General features: G+C 42.8%; 1 protein-coding gene across 2 annotated transcripts in view, besides 2 other annotated features; it reads left to right on the forward strand.

The window, feature by feature from the left end:
* IDO2 (indoleamine 2,3-dioxygenase 2) overlaps window positions 1–15,576 on the forward strand; it is an 81,742-nt gene that overhangs the window by 4,222 nt on the left and 61,944 nt on the right. The window contains exon 2 of one of the 2 annotated variants that reach the window (NM_194294.5): window positions 10,277–10,392. In NM_194294.5, the coding sequence (NP_919270.3) occupies window positions 10,294–10,392 (99 nt within the window). In that variant the 5' untranslated portion in view covers window positions 10,277–10,293. Of the gene's footprint in view, window positions 1–10,114; window positions 10,393–15,576 lie in introns of those variants that run through there. The other variant, NM_001395206.1, reaches the window with a different exon arrangement.
* Window positions 11,356–12,100: an enhancer, noted in NCBI's record as "NANOG-H3K27ac-H3K4me1 hESC enhancer chr8:39807747-39808491 (GRCh37/hg19 assembly coordinates)". NCBI's record gives its function as "activates a minimal SCP1, AML or CMV promoter by ChIP-STARR-seq in naive H9 embryonic stem cells {active_cell/tissue: H9 hESC(naive)}" and the evidence as "EXISTENCE:reporter gene assay evidence [ECO:0000049][PMID:30033119]".
* Window positions 13,220–13,279: an enhancer, noted in NCBI's record as "active region_27278". NCBI's record gives its function as "activates an Ori minimal core promoter by ATAC-STARR-seq in GM12878 lymphoblastoid cells {active_cell/tissue: GM12878}" and the evidence as "EXISTENCE:reporter gene assay evidence [ECO:0000049][PMID:35858748]".

Below are 15,576 nucleotides of genomic sequence, written 5' to 3' on the forward strand. Positions count from 1 at the left end.
CAATGAGATACCACTACATTTCTACATTGGTGAAAATTCCAAGTACTGACAGCACTCTCAGTGCTGGTGAGGATATGGTGCAGTAGAAATCCACACTCATGCCGGGCACAGTGGCTCATGCCTGTAATCCCAGCACTTTGGGAGGCTGAGGCGGGTGGATCACCAGGTCAGGAGTTTGAGATCAGCCTGACCAACATGGTGAAACCCCGGCTCTACTAAAAATACAAAAATTAGCCCGGTGTGGTGGCGGGCGCCTGCTACTCGGGAGTCTGAGGCAGGAGAATCGCTTGAACCCAGGAGGTGGAGGTTGCAGTGAGCCGAGATGGCGCCACTGCACTCTAGCCTGGGCGACAGAGCAAGACTCCATCTCAAAAAAAAAAAAAAAAAAAAGAGGCCAGGAGTGGTGGCTCACACCTGTAATCCCAGCACTTTGGGAGACTGAGGTAGGCGGATCACTTGAGGTCAGGAGTTGGAGACCAGCCTTGCCAACATGACAAAACCCTGTCTCTACTAAAACCACAAAAATTAGCCAGGAGTATTGGCACATGCCTGTAGTCCCAGTTACTCGGGAGGCTGAGACAGGAGAATTTCTTGAACCCGGGAGGCGGAGGCTGCAGTGAGCCGATATCGCACCACTGTACTCCAGCCTGAACGACAGGGCGAGACTCTGTCTCAAAAAAAAAAAAAAAAAAAAAAAAAAGGAAAGAAAGAAAGAAAGAAAAAAGAAAATTCCGTGATTGCAGTCTTTACGTATTTATTTGTTATTAAGTACAGTAAAATAAAGAAGGATAGATGTCATGGAAAATGTCACGAAAATAAAAGAGTTAAAAAAAAAAAAAAGTAGGCTGCAATGCCAGATGCCTGAAAAGTTAATCAACGAAAGGACTTAAATGTCCCCATTGAATTTAGGAACAAAGAAGTAATTAATGAACTGGGCAAAAACACTCAATGTACCAGCGTTATCGATTTAGAAACTGAAACTAAGTATATCTGATGTTGCTTTTAGGAAACAAGTAAATGAGGTCCTAAAAAGTTAAACTGTGACCATATTTTCTTTCCTTTTTCTAATTTCTCCTTGGGCCATTTCCAAAAAGCCCTAATACCCCGACTGATAGAAATGGATACCTTGCTGTGCACTGGTACTACTGTGATTCATGGAAAGCTGATCATGCAACCCAAGACGCCAAAATTCCCAGCCTTACTGTTACGAAAGAAAGTTTCTAAGCACAATTGTCTCTAGCCAACTTCCTCTTAGTAAGAAAGAGGCCAGGCAGGGCTTCATGCAGGGTACAGCCCTGAGTTTCTTACTGCGTGGTAAGTTTCTGGGGCTGGGAGTAAAGCAGCGTGACCGAAAGCAGTACAAAGTTCTACCGGACACGCAGATCCCGGTCCTACAAATATGAGGTCCATAATGAGACTGAGATATCATTCATCCAACAAATATTTATTGAATACCAAACATTGGGCTTACGGCTAAAGGAAAATACAAAGTTGTGTTGGATATGGGTTCTGTTTTCAAGGAGCTTATAATCTAATAGGAAAGATGAGGTTACTACATTAGTAGCAATCAGACCAGATAGAACTGGAAGTGTGATGTAAATGAGGTACAGATTGATTGTAGAATTTTGCAGAAAGAAAACAATTCTGAAGAAATGTTCATGGAAGTATTAGCAGTTGAGATGTATCTTAAAAGATAAGTGGGGTTCCTGTTGGAAACATTCAAAACTCTCTCTTCTAGCTATTTTAAAATACGCAATATATTATTAACTATGGTCACCTTACTGTGCTATAGAACACTAGAACTTATTCCTACTATCTAACTATAATTTTGTACCCACTAACCAACCTCTCCCTGTCCCTCCTCCCCCTATTCATCCCACCCTCTGGTAACCACTGTTCTACTCTCTGCTTCCCAAAACAAAGAAATGATCACTGTTTCGGTGATGGAGATGTCAATTACCCTGATTTGATCATTACACATTGCATACATGTATAGAAATATCACATGCAACTCTTAAGTATATACCATTCTTATGTACCAAATACAAATAAAATTGAAAAAAAAAAAAAACTTTGGCTGGGCGCGGTAGGTCATGCCAGCACTTTGGGAGGCTGAGGCAGGCGGATCACCTGAGGTCAGGAGTTCCAGACCAGCCTGGCCAACATGGTGAAACCCAATCTCTTCTAAAAAATACAAAAATTAGCTTGGTGTGGTGGCAGGGGCCCGTAATCCCAGCTACTCAGGAGGCTGAGGCAGGAGAAATGCTTGAACCTGGAAGGCAGAGGCTACAGTGAGCCGAGATCATGCCACTGCACTTCAGCCTGGGTGACAAAGCAAGACTCCATCTCAAAAAAAAAAAAAAAAAAGCCTCCTGAGTAACTGGGACTACAGGCATGCGACAATACTCCCGGCTCTCTTTTTAAAAATGAGAAGTAGAAGTAGTGGTGACTGTCAAGAAAGTATTTTGGAAAAATACTATGAATAACCAGACCAAAGAAACCAAATACCAGTTGTTTCAGGAGCAGTAAATCATTTTTGAGGGCTTGAGCAAAGGTCTTGCTAGAAAGGTGCTTAGGGGTCAGATTTTGGACATAATGCCAGGCCAAGAAAATTTGCACTTTATTTCATTAACAATGAGGAGCTCTTGAAAGTTTTATTGGCAGGACCTAAGATAGTTACAGACCCACAAGTAACATGGGTCTAGACCTTGGGAACAAGAAAAGTCAAGATCGAGTATGCAGACTTGGGAACCGAGTATAACTAATGGTTAAGATTAAATAAAAATACATAAGAACACTGAGATAGAGAAATGGCTCATTAATGCTGCAAATGTCTGCATGTTTAGGGATGAAATAGAAAAAGAAGTCAGAAAAATACAGTTCAAACAATAGGAAAGAAAACCAGAAATGCATGATTCTAAGAAATGAATGGGTGGACATGGTGGCTCACATCTGTAATCCCAGCACTTTGGGAGGCCGAGGCAGAAGGATAGCTACAGCCCAGGAGTTCAAGACCACCCAGAGCAACACAGCAAAACCCCATCTCTACAAAAAACAAAAATAAAAATTAGCCAAGCATGGTGGTACACACCTGTAGTCCCAGCTACTCACTCAACAGGCTGAGGCAGAAGGATCACTTGAGCCCAGGAGGTGAAGGATACAGTAAGCTATGATTGCACCATTGCACTCCAGCCTGGCTGAGAGAATGAGAGCTTGTTTCCAAAAATAAAAAATAAGAAAGAATTTTTAGAATGAGAGGAAAACAACATGAAACATGAGAAAAATAACATTCCCTGTTATATGGTAGGTGCTTCGCTTATAGTTTCTCATTAATTCATCATGTAATGTCTCTGGGATAAACATTATGGATTTCCTGCAGAAACAGAAGCTCAGAATTTTATGCCAGGTGTTGAAAGGCCATGTAGCTAATAGATGATAGAACACAGACTCACACTCTGGTAGTCCTGAGTTAACAGTAGAAAAGTCCTGGGCTGGGCGTGGTGGTTCACGCCTGTAATCCCAGCATTTTGGGAGGTTGAGGCAGGCAGATCACCAGAGGTCAGGAGTTTGAGACCAGCCTGGCCAACATGACTAAAGCCTGTCTCTACCAAAACCACAATTACCCAGCGTGGTGGCGGGCACTTATAGTACCAACTACTCAGGAGGCTGAGGCAGAAGAATTGCTTGAACCTGGGAGGTAGAGGTTTCAGTGAGGCAAGATCAAGCCACGGCACTCCAGCCTGGGTGACAGAATGAGACTCTGTATAACAAACAAACAAACAAAATCAGTAAGAAAGTCCCAGACTAAGAGGCATCAAATCAGGATTCTACTCCAACTCTGATGCCAGCTTCCAGGAATACACTTGATAAGTTGTTTCATTCCCATAAATCTTGGGTGATTCGTGTTTAATGAGAGCATTGAACTGAATCATTTATTCTATGACTCAGTTCTAATATTTCACAATTCTATGGTTGTATAATATTACAGGAAATTCTTGAGAAGGTGCAGAGGGAATGGATGAAAAAAACCACATGACTAACATAAAAAATAATGGGGCCATCTTTTCATTTGAGATTGAAGGAAAGAACGAGAGGACAATTAAACATGCAGAGTCTGAGAACTTGCATTTAGGAGGCATAAGATGCTGAACTGCAAAATTGGTTAGATATTGGGCTGAAGAGAATTGAGAATTTTTTAATAATAAAAACTCTTGGCAGGGCGCAGTGGCTCACGCCTGTAATCCCAGCAGTTTGGGAGGCTGAGGTGGGTGGATCACTTGAGGTCAGGAGTTTGAGACCAGCGTGACTAACGTGGGGAAACCCCGTCTTTAAGAAAAATGCAAAAAATATTAGCTGGGTGTGGTGGTACAAGCCTGTAATCCCAGCTACTTGAGAGGCTTAGGCAGGAGGATCACGTGAGCCCAGGAGGTGGAGGTTGCAGTAAGCCGAGATTGTGCCACTGTACTCCAGTCTGGATGACAGAGGGACACTATCTCAAAAAACAAACAAACACTCTTAAGAAATTAGGTGTAGAAAGAATGTTCCTCAATACCATAAAGGCCATATGTAAGAAACCTATAGCTGGCCGGGCGCGGTGGCTCAAGCCTGTAATCCCAGCACTCTAGGAGGCCGAGGCGGGCAGATCGCGAGGTCAGGAGATCGAGACCATCCTGGCTAACACAGTGAAACCCCGTCTCTACTAAAAATACAAAAAATTAGCCGGGCGAGGTGGCTGGTGCCTGTAGTCCCAGCTACTCGGGAGGCTGAGGCAGGAGAATGGCGTGAACCCCGGGGGGCGGAGCCTGCAGTGAGCTGAGATCGCGCCACTGCACTCCAGCCTGGGCGACAGCGAGACTCCATCTCAAAAAAAAAAAAAAAAAAAAAAAGGAAACCTATAGCTAACATCATACTGAATGGTGAACAGTTGAATGCTTTCGTCTAAGAACTGGAACAAGACAAGCACGCCAACTCTCACCACTCTTACTCAACATAGTACTTTAAGTCCTAGCCAGAGCAATCAAACAGGGGAAGTGGATAATTGAGAATGGCTCGAGAGGTGCTGTGGCTCAGTCCTGTTGTCCTGGCACAGAAGGAGCTGAGGCCAGGCGTTCAAGAATGGCTCCTAGATGTCTCATAAGGAACCATAAATCAAACAACTTTCAAAACTGAAACCTGCGTGAGAACGGTTGCATTAGTTAATCTGGGAGCTTCCTGCTTTTTTTTAGCTTTCATATTTATCTTAGAGAAAGGGAGGAAGGAGAGATGTGTATGGATACATAAGCATTCAAATACATTTGTGTATAATCTTATGACCAGAATTCAGGTCCAATGAACAAAAAGGTAGGGTCTTCGGAATTTCCCCAGTGAGATCTATGACCTGAATATTATTACGCAAGGATCCACTTTGGGATTACAGGCGTGAACCACTACACCCAGCCCAGGACTTTCCTGCTGTTAACTCAGGACTACCACAATGTGAGTCTCTGTTCTGTAATGCCCAACCTTGTTTTTACTAACCCCGCTTTTAGACTCCCCGTTTTCCTTTAATCACCTAGCCTTGTTTCCACCTGAATTGACTCTCCCTTAGCTAAGAGAGCCAGACAGACTCCATCTTGGCTCTTTCACTGGCAGCCCCTTCCTCAAGGACTTAGCTTGTGCAAGCTGACTCCCAGCACATCCAGGAATGCAATTAACTGGTAAGATACTGTGGCAAGCTATATCCGCAATTCACAGGAATTCGTCTGATTGATAACGCCCAAAGCCCCGAGTCTATCACCTTGTAATAGTCTTAAAGCCCCTGCACCTGGAACTGTTTACTTTCCTGTAACCATTTATCCTTTTAACTTTTTGCCTAATTTATTTCTGTAAAATTGTTTTAACTGGACCCCCCTCCCCTTTCTAAACCAAAGTATAAAAGAAAATCTAGTCCCTTCTTTGGGGCTGAGAGAATTTTGAGCGATAGCCGTCTCTCGGTCGCTGGCTAATAAAGGATTCTTAATTTGTCTGAAAGTGTGGCGTTTTTCCAACTCGTTCAGGTACAACAGTTCTAGCATCTATTAGCTATGTGGCCTTTCAACACCTGGCATAAAATTCTGAACAATGGCTTGGAAATTAAGATACCTTAGCTCTAGTCCTTGCTCTGCTAATAATTAATAGAGTGAAACTGGACAGGGTTATTCACATGTGTGTGCCTCAGTTTACTGTTAACTGAAGAATGACAAAGTTCATAAATTTGAAAAGGAGAGGTTTCTTATATGGGGTTGCAACCTGCAGGGTGGCCATGCTACAGTCTGGGAAGCATTGCCTCTGGCTGGAAGCCAGAAACAGGCACTTTCAGGGTCAGAAGAATAAGACAGAGATTTATGCTGAATGGGGTGACCAAATATACATATTCAATAGGCTATAGGAGGAGTTATGAATATTTATGAAAGGAGAAATGTGTACATGTGCAATTTGGCTTCATGCCCCTTCATGGGACCTACATTCAAAAAATGGCAGCCTTAGCATGATCTGAGGGAGGATCTTTCAGCCCTCTGAGGTCAAAAGTGAAGGAGAGGACAGGAAACCCTCACTGTGTGTTCTCCGTAGGGGCCAGAACCACTGCATGTTTGGTGAACCTGGCTGGTTGTTATGTTGAAACTGCAAAAGGGAGGGATAACAGTCAGGTGCTTGTTTGATACCAGGGGTAGAGGAGACTTTCAAAAGGGCTGGTTTCTGTTTAGCCCTTAGGGAAGAATGTCTAAAGAGAATTACCTACAAGGGTATAACGAGGAGTGTCTGACATTCCATCTAGTAATGAACTAGAACTCAGTTTTCAAGTTAACTCTGGGACCCTCTTAGCCAAGAAGAGGTCCATTCAGTTGGTTGAAGAGCTTAGGATTTCATTTATATCTCTCATCACTAATCTGCAAAAGCTGGTAGTGAAACCGCCTTTGCAAAATTATGACTGAGACAGCGAAAGAGATCTAACTTAATCGATTCCGTCTTGCTTCTAACCTCCAAGCTGTCCTTATTCATTCCCGGGCATAGGCTGAACTAACTCCGGGAGAAGCTTAGTTTATAGTTTTTAGTTTAAAACAAAGATAGTAACAGCCCTTTCCCAAAGCAGACCTCCTTCTTGCCTTGGAACTAGACTGCCTTTAGTGGGACTAACATTAGCCACAAGATTAGAAACTGTGGCTTAGGAGTCATACAGCTGGAGGCTACAAGATTCTGACTCTCCCTAAACTGCTCCTAAGATCAGTCCTTGAGATATTTTGCAGACCCTGTACTTGATGGATCAGGTGGCACCACCCAGATTGATAAAGTGGCTCATCTGATCTTGTGGCCCCCACCCAGGAACTGACTCAGCACAAGAAGAGAGCTTTGACTCTCTATGATTTCATCTCTGACCCGTCAGCACTCCTGGCTCGCTGGCCTCCCTCAGGCCACCAAGTTGTCCTTAAAAACTCTGCTCCCACTGGGCGGTGGCTCATGCCTGTAATCCCAGCACTTTGGGAGGCCAAGGCAGGCGGATCACAAGGTCAGGAGATTGAGACCATCTGGCTAACATGGTAAACCCTGTCTCTACTAAAAGTACAAAAAATTAGCTGGGCATGGTGGCACGCACCTGTAGTCCCAGCTACTCGGGAGGCTGAGGCAGGAGAATCACTTGAACCTGGGAGGCAGAGGTTACAGTGAGCCGAGATCATGCCACTGCACTCCAGCCTGGGCAACAGAGTGAGAGACTTCATCTCAAAAAAATAAATAGATAAATAACCTCCGCTCCCTGAATGAATGCTCCCGGAGACTGATTTGAATCATAATAAAACTCCAGTCTCCCGCACAGCCTGCTCTTCATGAATTACTCTTTCTCTATTGCAAATCCCCTGTCTTGATAAATTGGCTCTGTCTAGACAGTGGGCAAGGTGACCTCACTGGGCAGTTACAGTAGTACCCACTTCATAAGTGAAATCACTTATCTTAGTGGTAGGGTCCCAAAAGTTGTTTGGTAGGAGAGGGTTGAGGCTGGGAGAGGTGGCTCATGCCTGTAATCCCAGCACTTTGGGAGGCCAAGGTGGGTGGATCTCCTGAGGTCAGGAGTTCCAGACCAGCCTGGTCAACATGGTGAAACCCCATCTCTACTAAAAATACAAAAAATTGGCGTGGTGGTGGGTGCCTACAATCCCAATTACTTGGGAGACTGAGGCAGGATAATCGCTCGAACCTGGGAGGCAGAGGTTGCAGTGAGCAGAGATCGCGCCACTGCACTCAAGCCTAACCAACAGGGGCAAAACTCTAGGACTAGAGCTAAGGTATCAAAAAAAAAAAAAAAAAAAAAAAAGAAGTAGAGTGTTTAATTAAATAATTTGTTCTTGCTGTAAAATGTAAAGTAGATATTCCTCTTCAAAGACTTTCCTCCCCGTCTAATTAGGAATAAATAGTAACTTCTCTTAGAAGCAAAATTTATTCAAAGACCTGTGCTAACATTCTTAAATATCTGCTAGCCACAATAAGGAAATCAATGTACTTTATGTTCTTAGCTCCCACAATTTAGCCTAAATATTTTCCCTGGCATGTTTATACTGGTCTAAGCAAGCATTAGGTCATAGCCTGTTCCTCTTCCTTATTTAAAAGTGTTTTTACCTTTCTCAGCGTTCCACAAGTTACTTCCTCCTTCCTTTGTTCTCCTCTACCTGTGCCTCTTTTAAAAAGTTCTAAGTTGCTAGCCAATTGGGACAAATACAGAATGTAAGGTCCCATTCCAGCCAACGGAAACTGGACACAGCAGTAGGGTGGATGTGTCAGGTTATAAATGACCCTGTCTCCTTTGTTTGGTGTACTCTAGTGGCAAAACTGCTGGCAAGTGTACCTTTTCTGCAGGAAGTAAAAATGGCCTTACTAAATAAATTAAATTTATGTTCAAGTGCTATTTCTTTTTTTTTTTTTTTTCGAGATGGAATTTCACTTTTGTTGCCCAGCCTGGAGTGCAATGGCGCGATCTCGGCTCACTGCAACCTCCACCTCCCAGGTTCAAGCAATTCTCCTGCCTCAGCCTCCCGAGTAGCTGGGATTACAGGCATGCGCCACCACGCTCGGCTAATTTTGTATTTTTAGTAGAGATGGGGTTTCTCCATGATGAGGCTGGTCTCAAACTCCTGACCTCAGGTGATCCGCCTGCCTTGGCCTTCCAAAGTGCCTTGGCCTTCCAAAGTGGCGTGAGCCACTGCGCCCAGCCTCGAGTGCTATTTCTTTACGGCACGGAAGAACAAACATTTCAAACAATGCTATTACCAAGTTTGTTAGTATTTATTATCTCATTTGCTAAACCTAAAAAATATATATCCTTCTTTAACGTGATCGAATATTTCAAAAAGTTATTGTGTTGTTTCTTAAAATAAATCAATCATAATCCTAGACTATGTTGCTCAAACTACATACAACACCTTCTGAGCTTCTGGCAGGCCCTTCCTCCCCTCCCTGCTCACCACAGATCACTGGAATAATTGTCTGCATGTAACTTCTAATTTTGAAGTGGTTGTGGTTTATCAAACCTGGAACATGGCACTTCCAAGTACATGAGCTAAGGTCACAGTAAGACTCAAGCCCCTTCAACAGAATACCTGGAATTTCTCTGTTAAAGATTTTCTCCTTTACCTGACTACATGTTTGTAATGCAGATCCCTCCAGGAGCGCTTACTTATAAACTGTCCTGGATCACTAACGCGACATTTTGATGTAAATTAGTTTATCTTGACGTGCTAATGGTAGAAAAAAAGAGAACATGAGGAAACTTGGGTGCTTTCAGGGCTGGTAGGAAGGATTAAATCTTTGCGGCAATTTCTGAGAAGGGGAAGGAAACCTTGCTAACAATTTTGATAGTTTACTCCATTTGGCTGGAGTAACTCTGATCCATTTGTCAAATTCACGATGGAGCAGGTACCTGTTAGGGTACAGGTTTGATAAACCACAACCACAGGTCTATTTCATTTCTCCTTTTCCAAAGTGGAACAAATTTGTCTCTGGGGTTAAAACTGCTTTTCTCATATTGGTGTGTAAGAGAAAATGAGGGAATTTCTTTGAGTTTGTTTGGTTTGTCTGTTTGTTTAAGCAGCATTTTTTAAATAATTTACTCAGCCCTGTCTCAGAGAAAGTCCATGATGATCTGGAATTCAACCTCAGGGAAAAGTTCTCTCCTGTGCCTGAGACACTGCGCAACTAACTGGAACCGAAGGATGGAACCTGGGTGTTTAATTTATTAGGAACAATTGATTCTTCAGTGACACTTTCCATGCAGATACTTCAAACAAAATAATGGAGCCCCACAGACCGAATGTGAAGACAGCAGTGCCATTGTCTTTGGAAAGCTATCACATATCTGAAGAGTATGGCTTTCTTCTTCCAGATTCTCTGGTAAGGATAGAGCCTTGGTAAGGATAGGTCAGAATATGTTTCTTGAGATGTTGGTTGGTTTGTTTTTTAAAAATGTATGTGATTATTAAGAGACCAATATAAATATCAAGTTGTTTACCTGAGAAAGATGCTACAAAGAGCATAGATTATCATTACTATCAAAAGAGAAGTGACAGATACCACAGAGAACAGGTCAAATGGAACATTTTTTGTTTCAGTTTCTTTTGACTAGATTGTCAGGCCAGAGAAATTATAAGCAAACCTGTAGTTATCAAGAAAAAGCATGAACTTAAATATAAATAAAGAACAAATATAGAGCCTCAGCACCTGGAACATGGCACTTCCAAGTACATGAGCTAAGGTCACAGTAAGACTCAAGCCCCTTCAACAGAGTACCTGGAATTTCTCTGTTAAAGATTTTCTCCTTTGCATGACTACATGTTTGTAATGCAGATCCCCCCAGGAGCGCTTACTTATAAACTGTCCTGGATCACTATTGCGACATTTTGATGTAAATTAGTTTATCTTGACTTGCTAATGGTAGAAAAAAAGAGAACATGAGGAAACTTGGGTGCTTTCAGGGCTGGTAGGAAGGATTAAATCTTTGTGGCAATTTCTGAGAAGGGGAAGGAAACCTTGCTAACAAACAATACCTCTTTCTTAATTCTACTTAGGGCTCAAATTGTAATGCAAATCTTTTTCATCATTTAGCCCTTATAAACACTGTTTTTCTCATCTGGTGTGGTCCAAGGCCTAGAACATTAAAACTATCAAAGCTTTTACAGACCATCAGGTGTCATCCCCCTCTTTCTACATCTGAGCTAGCTGAAATCCAGAGGAAATGACTTGCTGAAAGTCATGAGTGGCAAAAGCAGAACTAGTTCTGCTTATAACTCTTGACTTTTAGTTATTATTATTATTAATTATTATTATTACATCCTAAATGAGGGCCAAGGCCACTCAGTTAAAAATCGTGGGGTCCAGGCCAGGTGCAGTGGCTCACGCCTATAATCCCAGCACTTTTGGGAGGCCAAGGCAGGTGGATCACTTGAGGTTCAGGAGTTCAAGACCAGGTTGATCAACATGGTGAAACCCCGTCTCTACTAAAAATACAAAAATTGGCCAGGCGTGGTGGCACATGCCTGTAGTTCCAGCTATTGGGGAGGCTGAGGCAGGAGAATCCTTGAACCCAGGAGGGGGAGGTTGCAATGAGTGGAGATCATGCTGTTGGGAATGAAGTTTTTGGTGTCACAGAAAAAGAATGAACATGGGAACAAATGATCTCTCAGCAAAAGGACCTTTACTTTCTGCAGAAAGGGTGCTACTCAATAGCTGTCCAGCCACGAGAGCACACCAAACAAAGGAGACAGAGTTATTTATAACCTGACGCATCTACCCTACTGCTGTGTCCAGCTTCCATTGGCTGGAATAGGACCTCACATTTTACACTTTACCCAATCGGCTATTAGTTTAAAACTTTTTTAATTGGATAAGGGAACAGAACAAAGAAAGAAAAGCAAGTTGCCCAGGGATAGTTAAGGAAACATCTCCATATAAGGAATGGCATGCACTATGGGCTGGGGCTTTTCTAGTTCTGTCCAGACATGCCGGAGCAAGCTACGACAGCTGATTTGGACAGCCACTAATAGTGGCTAGCAATCTTATAGTAAGAAATTGTGACTTTTTATAATCTTTGAAGAACTTTCCCATTTCTGACAGTGCCACTGCACTCCAGCCTGGGCAACAAGAGCGAAACTCGTCTCAAAACAAAACAAAACAAAACAAAACAAAACAAAACAGCTCTCTACTCTTGGAAGCAGCAGAGTTTTTATCTTCATTTATATCACTCCGGTAACACTCAGAAGTAGACAAGCCTCAGGGTAGGTATTCAGTAAAAGCCCACTGAATTCCACACTATTCTTTAATCATAGTTAAATGGCAAATTAGGCTGGAGGGTGGGGGTGGAACCTCTCCAAAATTACTGCAATGACTGCAACATCGGACCCCAAGATTTTTTTTTTTTTTTTCTGAGATAGAATCTCTTTCTATCGCCCAGGCTGGAGTGCAGTGGCACTGTGAGAAATGGGAATGGACCGGACTGTTTCCTCTGACACTGCCACTAGGTTGACCAAGTGTCCCTATTTGTTAGGTACTGGATGGACGCCTGACATGCAAGACTCTCAGTGCTAAATCAGGAAAGTGCTGGGACAATTCGGATGAGTCGGTCACGCTAAGTTGCACTTAATAGCTCTTGTGACTTTGACTGAATTACAAACATCCCCTGACCCTCAATTTTCACATTTACTGGATGGAGATCTGGTGCCACCTCCACTAGATTGCTATGGAGAATGAATGTGAAAGCATTTTCATAAATCCAGTGTAAGGACCAGAAGCCAGTCTTCTGACCTTGAGCCAGTGCTTGTTAAAAACTCCACTCTATACATCTAACCCAATTCAGGAATATCCTGCCTAGTTCCAAAGGAAGAAAAGACCAAATTGCTCTTATTGGGATTAAATGCGTACACTGAGCTGAGGAAAAACAGTATTACAAATGAGCTAAACATGACGTAGATCCACAGTTGTAGAATTCCCCTCTTTGTTCTTTCCTCTTTCATAACTACGGAAACAGATGAGAAACATTTACGGCATCAGGTTCTTGTGATGCTCCCTGCCTGATATGCTATGGTTTTGTTAATGGAATGTCCATTCCTGAGCTTATGCAGAAAAAAGTCCCTTGGGAAAGTGGTTTTACTGTGTTATGTTCATTTTCCCCATAGTTCTCAAAATGTACTTCCTTGTTTCAGTTTTAATTTTCTTTCATTGGTGTGACCATTTTCAACTGCTCCCTTTCTGGGAAGAGGTAGCAGACGGACATTTTCATCAAAATCTGCCCCAGGTTGCTTCACAGATAAGGAGGGACCCAGCCACTAAAATCACCAGGCAGAGTGTTGCAAGAGTAGATAGAGAATCACAATTGGCTGCCCTGCTCAAGGGGACACCAGATCTTACTTTCGTTTAGTTGAAAGGCAAGCGTCAGAGTCGGGAGGCTGTACCTTCATGTCCAGTGGCCTCACAGAAGTTCCTTCAGTATCTCTTTTAGATGAAACTCTTTTAGAAGTTCCTTCAGTATCTCTTTTGGTTTCTCACTATAGATAGTTACTTGAACATGTCTGAAGAAAACGTGGTCAAGACAGTGAATAAAAAAAATTCTGGTTTTGGGAAGCAGTCTGACTTAGTTTCAAATATTCTATCCCACTGTTTCTGTCAATGTTCAAACCTTTCCAAGCTCCAACATTTATTGTGGAAAATGTGTGCCTCACCAACTCATGCAAATAAATGTTTCATGTGCCCTACGTGTGTAGAGGGGGCATGGATGTGTGTTTTTGGAGGGAGGGCTAATTTTTCTTTAGACATGGAGAATACGAGGAAATTAGCTTGGCATCAAGAAGGTTACAGCAGGAGACAAGAGTGAAGAGAACTGAGAGAGCCCGGAAATGAGGCTCTGGAGTTCAGATTTTTTTTTTTTTGAGATGGCGTCTTGTACCCCAGGTTGGAGTGCAATGGCAAAATCTCAGCTCACTGCAACCTCCGCCTCCCGGGTTCAAGCGATTCTCCTGCCTCAGCCTCCTGAGTAGCTGGGATTACAGGCATGAGCCACCATGCCTGGCTAATTCTGTAGTTTTAGTACAGATGGGGTTTCTCCATGTTGGTCAGGCTGGTCTCAAACTCCCAACCTCAGGTGATCCACCCTCCTTGGCCTCCCAAAGTTCAAGGATTACAGCCATGAACCACTGCGCCTGGCCTAATTTTTGTATTTTTAGTAGAGACAGGGTTTCACCATGTTGGTCAGGCTGGTCTTGAACTCCTGACCTCGTGATCTGCCCACCTCAGCCTCATGAAGTGCTGGGATTACAGGCATGAGCCACAGGGCCAGGCCTGGAGTTCAGATTTAACACATCCTGTAAATGACATGATGCATCTGATATTTGAAGAGTTTTCCTCAAAGAATGTTACATGCAAGGTGGTTTAGAGTTGTTGTTTCCGGCTATATAGCAAAAGTACTTGGGGAGTTTTAAAAAATACTGATGCCGAAGCTCCACCTAGAATAGTTCATTCAGAATCTCTAGCATAATTGACCTCAGTACTTGAAATATGATTATTATAAATGTTAGTCAACTGCTTTTTTAGGCTCTATGACTGATAGAAATCTTTCACTTTTATATCATCTCCAGTTAATGAGTCCCATAAATTGAAATCTAGTGTTTAAATTTTTACTTCATATTTATTTTTACTGATTGTTTTATTATTATTATTTTTGAGACAGAGTCCGCTTTGTCGCCCAGGCTAGAGTGCAGTGACGCCATCTCGGCTCCCTGCAACCTCCGCCTCCTGGGTTCAAACGATTCTCCTGCCTCAGCCTCCTGAGTAGCTGGGATTACAGGAGCCCACCACCAACCACACCCAGCTAATTTTTGTATTTTTAGTAGACGGGGTTTCGCCATGTTGGCCAGGCTGGTCTCGAACCCCTGACCTCAAGTGATCCACCCGCCTCGGCCCTCTGTCTCAAAACAAAAACAAAAACAATAACAAAACTTTTCTCTTCTACCCGAGATGTTTAAGTTTAAATCACACCATTTGTACAAAAATTCCCTGTCTTGTCCTTAAAAATAATTTGTAATCACTAGCTAGTTTTGAGATCGATTGCCATCTAACCGAATGCCATTTGTTCTCTCTCTCTAGTTTCAACTTAATAACCCTTTCTGCATTTTCTATTCTTTCAAAATTTTTCCGGCCATTTTATTGTTTCTATTTAGTGAAAATTTATTCACTGGTTTCTATGCCTAAGGGCATTTAGGAAGTTGCTTAGGATACAGACGTGATAAAAAGACCAGTGTAAAAACTCTCCACTCCTAGACATTATATTCTAGTCCTCATCTCCTGTCATTTAAGTCCTCAGTGATTCTATGCACTTTTGCTTTTGGTTTGGGCAGATGCTCTGAGTTTAATGTTTCTCTGAGATGAGGACCCCCTATTCAACTCACAAATCCCATAAGGAGGCCTCTGTGCCTTTGCTGGTGCCCCAGACAGGGTGCTGATGCTTACTTATCTTCAAGATTGTGAAGTCAGATTTAATAGTATAGTCGTTTGCCAGAGCTGCTGTAACAGTAGCCACAAACAGTTGGG

This window comes from Homo sapiens, chromosome 8, assembly GCF_000001405.40.
Source record: "Homo sapiens chromosome 8, GRCh38.p14 Primary Assembly".
Classification (NCBI taxonomy): Eukaryota; Metazoa; Chordata; class Mammalia; order Primates; family Hominidae; genus Homo; species Homo sapiens.